The sequence below is a fragment of the Homo sapiens genome, chromosome 10 (genome assembly GCF_000001405.40).
Source record: "Homo sapiens chromosome 10, GRCh38.p14 Primary Assembly".
NCBI lineage: Eukaryota > Metazoa > Chordata > Mammalia > Primates > Hominidae > Homo > Homo sapiens.
The window spans coordinates 100,563,917-100,571,884 of record NC_000010.11 but is presented as its reverse complement, the minus strand read 5'-3'; positions in this window follow the sequence as shown (position 1 = coordinate 100,571,884).

Genomic DNA, 7,968 nt, shown 5'->3' with positions numbered 1-7,968 from the left:
CTGGTTCTCTTTCCCTTTGGAGTATCTGGGAATGGGTCTCTGTCTTTGTATGGTGTTTCAGTGTGAATATTGAGTGGCATAAGGGTAGAGTGCTTGAGTTCGTGTCTGAGTATACGTTTGAGCTGCTGTGTATTTGTATGTGTGTCTGCTGCGGGTCTCTGTGTGTTTTTATCCAAGTGTGCACACACACGCGCGCTCAGCTCCCCTAATATGCTGAACGGGCCATTACGCCTCTTGCATGCGGGGCTGGGGGTGGATGGGTCGGGGGGCAGAGGGAGGCAGCAGGATTCTGTAAGAACATTAAATCCCAAATAAAGTAGAAAATATTTTTTAAAATTACCGACTTCCCGTTTTCTCCGAAATGGAGTGAAACGAGGCTGGTCCCGAGGCGGGGGCTCCGTAGGGCCAGCCACTGGAAAGGGGCAGCGCTTTATTTTTTATTTTTGTAATAAGAGGAACTGAATTAGAAAAAACGGGGAAGGAAGAGCAGAGTCGGATTGTTAAAGGATTCAATGAGCTGTGGCCAATGTATTCGAAAGGTGCTTAAGGCAGCAGAGCCGCTCACCAAACACACACACGCACACACACGCTGTCACACACAGTCACACACAGCCACACACAGCCACACCAAGGCACCACACATGCCATCACACTCACAACACTGAGACAAAGGCACATTCAGTCACACTCATGTTGGGACACACACAGGGCACAAAGACACACCAACCCCATCCCCACACACCCCCCACAGAGCCAGCACACACTCCATCTCAGTCTCCAGGGCAACTCAGATGTACCCCAAGAGACACAAAGGAATCCAGTGCAAATAGTTACACACAATGATAAGGACACAGACATTCACAAGCACACAAAGACACTCACCACTTCCGGATCCACACCAATACATCCACATAATTCAATACAACTGCCAAACACACATCTACACACCTGTCCACTCACGATGGACTCACAGCAGACAGAGCTCACACTAACAGCCTTGTCCTCTCACCCAGACACCCACTGTGACTGACCCACAAAGAGCCCCAGGCCCCCAGACACATCCACATCATCACACACAGTCACCCAACACACCCGCATTCAATTATTAACAACGACATTGCATACTTAGAGACTTACAGTCAGACATTTCCACCGACTGAAGACTCACACTCATCCTGTGAAACAGACACCCTTATCTCGACTTAGAGACAAGCAACACAGCACAGGGCGGATAAAGGCCCTACCCGAAGTCGAACATGAACAGCAGGCCAAGCCAGGGCCCAGTCTCTTGCTTTACCATTTAAATTCCCACACACAGAGAGCTGAATACACACGTACACACACACACACACACACACACACATACTGCCTTGCTCACACATTCTTAGGCACTCGGCCTCACATGCATTAATTTACGCACGTCCAGTCCACACCCTGGACAGTAATACACACACACACACAGCCATCCCTTTCTACGTTCGTTCTGCTTTTCTGTTTCCCCAGCTGCTGCCCTATCCTGCCTGTCCAAGACAGACTGAGCTAAGGTGACGTTTTAGTGGGAGAGGGAGGTGGCATGGCCCAGGCTCTTCCTCTCAGTTACACCTACGCGTGCCTCTCGCCCCACCAAAAAAACCCACTTCTAGCAGCTGACCCGGCCCGCTCCTCCAGGGCCTGGGAAAGGTGAGCTCTTGCTTCCCTCGCCCCACTCCTCCCACACATTCTAACCAAGGGGACATTAAAAAGTGCTGACAGGGCCAGGAGAGGCCACCTGCCTGCCCGCCAGCCGGGACACTTTCATCTCGGCCGCCTCCCGCCGCAGCCGCCCGCCCTGGCCTTCCCTCCCCCAAGTCCCTCTTTATTAATCTGGCCCCGTCTGGCCAGCCCTGGCCCCCCAGGTTGCCCCCATCTCCCCTCTAGCTCTGCGGGGGAGGTTCCTGATCTCCAACATCCCATGCAGAGAGGCTCCACTGCCTGCATTAATCATCCCAGGGGCCATGAAGAGCGCCCCCAACAGTCTGGGGGGAGCTCATTCAGCTCCGGATTTACAGCAGGAGATGGGGTCTCCGGTGCCACCCACAGACGCTTCACACCCACCAAGTGTCACCCGGTCAGGGCACACATGCTGACAGTCGTACATTCACACTGCACAGTAACACACACAACCACACATCACCTCAGCCACGTGATGCTGTCATATCAAGTCACACACAAAACCCACTATGACAGTCACACGTAATGACACCTACAACAGACTTACACCAACAACCATACAAGAACACAGCTACCCATGTGGTCAGTCACTTAGAGCACATGATTAACACATTCACACACGACACAATTCACCAACGTTGCACACACAGACACACAATCACTCATGATGTTCGTTGCCCATAATGATAATTTGACAGTATCTGCTTCATAGCGGCACTTAATAACTTAATATTTATTGAATGATACAGTGGCAATACATTCACAGACTAAGATTCACACATATGTACCTTACAGCTGAAATAGATACAGCACAAAAAGTGGAAACAAGCCCTGCTAAGAATGTCCCAAGCAGAACACGACTAGTCAGAGAAGCAGACCAAAAGAAGGAGACGGAATGAAAGGAACCCACCTCCGTCAGGGTTGGGGACAGGGCATTCAGTTACCCTTTGCAACTGGAGACATCTTTTTGAAACACAAATCTAATCCTAGAATAAAGCCCCAGCACTACTTAACAGCCTGCGCAGCCCATCTGGTATGTGGCCCCTGCCTGCCCATCTGGCCATGGCTCCTGGAGCTCCAGCCACACCAGCCTTCTCTCACCCCTTCACCCCATCTCACTCCCTGCTGCCACAGGGGCTTTGCATGTGCTGCTGCTGGATCTGTTGGAACACTCTTCTCTCTTCTCCTAGTTTACCTTTAGCTTTCAGCTGTGGGTTACTTTCTAACTAAGTTAAATCCCCCATTAATGAGCCCTCTTTATCATACCATTGATCTCTCCTTTGTGGCACTTCTCACACATGAAGTTTTTCAGTCCCTACCACTAGACTGAAAGCCCTATGAGGGCAGACAGTGTCTGTTTTTGCTTCCCATTGACTCCTAGGACTTGTACCTAATAGTCTTAAGGGCAGACTGTGTACTGGGCACATAGTAGGTGCTCAGTAAATATCTGCTGTGTGAATGAATGAAAAACACAAATTACATTTTTAAAAAACACTAGAGGGAGAGCTTGGCTGGATGTTAATAAGTCCTAGAATGCTAGAATTGGGAATTGGGGGAATCCTGAGTTTTTGCTCCTGCTGTGTGACCTTGGGAGAGTCCCTTCACTTCTCTGGGCCTTTCTCATCTGTAAGTGAAGAAATTGGGCTTTCAGAATGTGCTCCATGGAGCTCTAAGGGTTCTCAGGGGTGTCTAGGGCTGCTATGGGTAAAGGTTAGAGCAAGGGTAAATTTCAGCCAACGTATTTCTGCTTTTCTCTCTCTCTCTCTCTCTCTCTCTCTCTGTGTGTATGTGTGTGTGTGTGTGTGTGTGTGTGTGTGTGTGTGTGTGTGTACATTCAGAATTGAAGGTTCTAAGGTTAAAAATATCCTTGGAAACTCCTGGACTAGGTGAGCTCTAGTTCCCTTACAGAATATTACAATGCAATAGAGGCAAAAATGGTTCCCAGTCAGATAGCAGAGCACGAGCTGCTTTTTATCTGCAAAGTTATCTAAGTGGACTCCATATCTGCAGACTCAACCGAGGAAAGGAGCAATAAGAATTGAATGAGCCCAATTGGAGGAGGATTCCTAGAGGAGAGGAGTTTTCAACATCCCATGCAGATTCCTAACTCCGGTGACAGACTCAAAGAGACCAGGGAGCTGGTGGGGGAGGGAGTCGGGGCGCCACTTCTCAGAAGGGACTGTGATCAAAGCAACAGCCAAGAAAAGCCTAGTTGGGCCTGAATAGCAGTGGCAGATGATGACTGGGGGAAGTGGGAGATGCAGGGTGGCCCACACACTGTTTGAAAGCCCATATGCACTGAGGATGGCAAATAGGAAAAACTCTAAAGTCAGGTCACCTTACGGGAGCAGAGCTTTCTCCTAGGGAAGGGAATGCTGAGGGCAGAGGAGGCAGGGAATCCCCTGGAGCCAGATGAGTGAGGACACAGGCTATTTTTCTCCATGTTCCTTGAGGCCAGGGCAGAGGAAATAGCCTCAAATTGGGGGTCAAGTGTGTGTGTTGCGGGGAGGTGGAAGTCAGAGAATAGAGCCTGGAGAAATCCACTACTTTGGACCTGAGGTTGGCTGAGGTTGGGGGTGGTTCCCTGTGAACCCTAGTTCAGGGAAACGCTCTTCTCCTGCTCCCTTCCCCTCTGCAGGCCTCAGTGTTTCCGCACCCCACCACCGCCCCGTTCTCATGTACACACCCTCTTCAACTTGCCTCCTGAACCACGGCTCGGTCCACTCTCCTTGAACTCCCAAATTCCTCCCGCCCCTGAGTCATCTTCACCCTCAGCAGCTCCACTGTTCCTGGCTTCCACCCTGCTACTCTGCCAGCTCCTAGGCCTGTTCCCTGCAGCCGGCAGCGCTGGCAATGCCCTCTCCTAGTTCTCCAACCTCTCGCTGACTCTCCCAGCAGCTCTCTCCTCACTCCCTCGCTATGCAGAAGGGGCCCAGCCAGGCTTAGGATGCAGGTTTCCAGTGCTTTACCCCTCCGCTTTTTCCTATGACAAATTCGTCTGCAAGCAAGACTTCAAATTCAACTAGCAACCCCATAGGAATGACCCTCCAAGGGGCCCTATTTTATATGTGTATTGAGTGTCAATAGATGTGGAAAAATGACTCCCAAATTGGTACTTCAGTCCTAACTTCCAACTGGCATCACTAGCCCCTCACTAGACAGCTCCCAGACTCCCCAGCATCACCTGAAATTCACTGTGATCACCTTGAGTCCCCGACCAGCCCATCTCTCCCAGAATTCCTTCCCAGGTCATGCACCTGCTAGGGCCAGCCCAGCCCACTCACCACTCCTTCATCTTCACACGGAGTTTTCCTTCAAATGTGCCTCAGTGTGGTCTTTTATCTGCATGCTCCAACCCCAAACCCCAGACCAGCCCAGGTGTCTTTACCGCCTTAGGGGTTGTTCCCAATCCCCAAATGGGCCCCCTTTTTATCCCTCTCTAACCCAACCTCTTCCCTGGCTGCATGAGTGATCTCCCCAAATACATCATGTCCCTCATCCAGAACCCCATGGCTCTCCATTGCCCCTGCTTACTGTCCAGATCCCTCAGCCTGCCTCACCCCCACCCTCCCCTCCAGGAAGCCTTGCCCCCTCCTAAGTCTGATTCTTTCCAGCCCCTCACAGACCTCCAAGCTCATTTCCATACCTTTTCCAGCTGCTCCAATAGCTGGAGCTGCAACTCTTCTGAGGAGTTAAATCCCAAGCACCCTTTCCAGCTGAACTTCTCCACACTCTCAACTGGGTATGAATGGCCACTTTTAACACTCCTGGCTCCTGCCACCAAAAGTCAGTAATTCCCTGCTGCCCCACCCCATTACTCCCTCTCCCTACCCCCACAAAAAAAGTCAGTAGTTCCTCCAGGACACTGTTACAGCAAAAATGTCCCTTGTTGAGAACCACTGGTTGGATGCTACTCTCTTGCCTTTCCCCATGGGACCTTCTCTAAATGACTAATATGCCTCAGGACTTTCTTTCACCTGCCTGTAAGTCCTTAGCTTCTGGCTGGAGGCTGTAAGGAGTGATGATGATGAGGAGGAGAAGGAGGAGGAGGAGGAGGATGCTGGCAATGGCAGCACCCTCTTAAGCAGCACTTTCTATGTACTAGACACTGTTTTTTTTTTCAAATCTTCTACATATATTCATTCATTATCATTACAACCCTATGAGATAGTGTTACTATTATTCCTGTTTTTCAGATGAGAAAATTGAGGGAGAAATTAAGTAACTTGCCCAAGGTCACCTACCTAGTAAGTAGCTGATGAAAAGGCATAGCAGAAAGTCAGACTTTGGAGCCACTTCTCAGAAGGGACTGTTATCAAAGCAACAGAAAAAAAGCCTTTCGAAAACCAACTGTCACCAACTGGCTGTGTGACCTTGGCCAAGTTACTTCCCTTCTCTGAACCTCAATTTCCTAATTTGTAAAATGATAAAACAGTACCTAGTTCGCGGTGGTTTAGAAAGGACTCGTGAATATAGAACACTCCTTGGCATGAAGCAAGCACTCCCTTTCTGTACCTCCTCCTGTCCTTCCCTCCACTCATAGCCTACCTCAGATACTTAAAAATCATGACAATGACAATGCCTCACATTTGAACTCAGGCTCTTGAGTCCAGGGTCCAGGCTCTTGACCCCACACACTGCATGGCTGCCCATACTCGTCTATCGGGCCCTCCTGGGCCAGGCTCTGGCAGTTGTCCCTCCCTTCCCCAGGGAGGCCCCTCACTGTCCTCATCGTGTCCTGGCCCCTAGGCCCCTCAGCCTGGCACTGAGCCTATCATTTGTAATCAGGTCAGACCATGGCTTGCTTACTCCATCCTGCCCCAAGATGCAGCATCAGCTTCACCCAAGGCAAATCCCAGCCCAGCTGCACTGCACCTCCGCCCTACCAGGCAGTACATCACACGCCTAGATTGCTCCTTTGACTCCCAAACAAATTCTTCACAACAGCATTTCCACCCCTCCCTCTGTGTCCGTCCAGCCCAGCCTCACCCTGGCCACCCTTACCTGAAGAAGCCAACCTCAACCTTTACTCTTACTTTTAGGAGATCAAAACCTGGGTCCAGGTTGAACCCCATGACTTCCCCTCCTTCTCCCCATTTCTCTGAGGCTTCAACCTCCTGCAGGCCCTGTCCCCCCTTCCCTCTGGAACTCAGCTCCTTCAAGTGTCTGCTCTCTCTGGTAGCTTCCATCTCCCCCTCTCCAGTGGCCCCTTCTCCTATGTCCTCTGTCTACAGATTTGCTCCTCTTCCCCTGGCTAAAAAAGCGTTGCTGCAGTTTCCTTTTCAAAACCCCAACCTGTCTCCAGTCCTCTGTGTACTTCTCAACGGATAACCTATAGCAGTTTATACTTGCTATGCCCCCATTTCCTCTCCACCAACTCACCCTCTAACCCCTACCATTCTGCTGACCTCTTCATCCCCAAATCTAATGACCTTCACTAGGGCCTCACTCCTGTCTCCTGCACTCAAACCCCTCTTCAGAGGTGACCCTGGTTCCCACCCCTCCTGTGTCGTTCTTCCTCCCTCCCTCTCACTGAACTCCACCCTCAGTTCCACTCCTATTTACCTGGGAAATGACTCTCAGGCATGTTCACACCTACCCACCCCCCGCCCAAACCCTCTTTTCTCTCCTTTTCTCCTTGGGTGTTCTCATCTGCCTAATCCTCACTACCTCTATGAAGCTGAGCCCAACCCTGTTTCTTTCCCCTGGGTTCCAGCCTCATACCTCCTGTTGTTGCCAGATACTTTCTGTTGCAGCCAGACCCCTCTGCCCTACGAGCTCACTGTGCTCCAACAATGGTCAGAGCTGTCCTCTTCATCTCTTCACTGCCCTCCAAACCTCAGGAAATTCAGGCCTCTGTAGCTTTGCTCCCCTGAAGACCAACATGTCACAGTGTTCCATCCATATATACATATTTTGGAGACAGAGTCTTGCTCTGTTGCCCAGGCTGGAGTGCAGTGGCGCAATCTTGGCTCACTGCAACCTCCACCTCCTGGGTTCAAGCAATTCTCGTGCCCCAGCCTCCCAAGTAGCTGGGATTACAGGCATGCATCACCACACCTAGCTAATTTTTGTATTTTCAGTAGAGACAGGGTTTCACCATGCTGGCCAGGCTGGTCTCAAACTCCTGGCCACAAGTGATCTGCCTGCCTTGGCTTCCCAAAGTGCTGGGATTACAGGTGTGAGCCACCACACCCGGCCCCAATATATTTTTTCTTCATTTTCATAAATTCATAATCAGGGGGAAAAACACAAAAG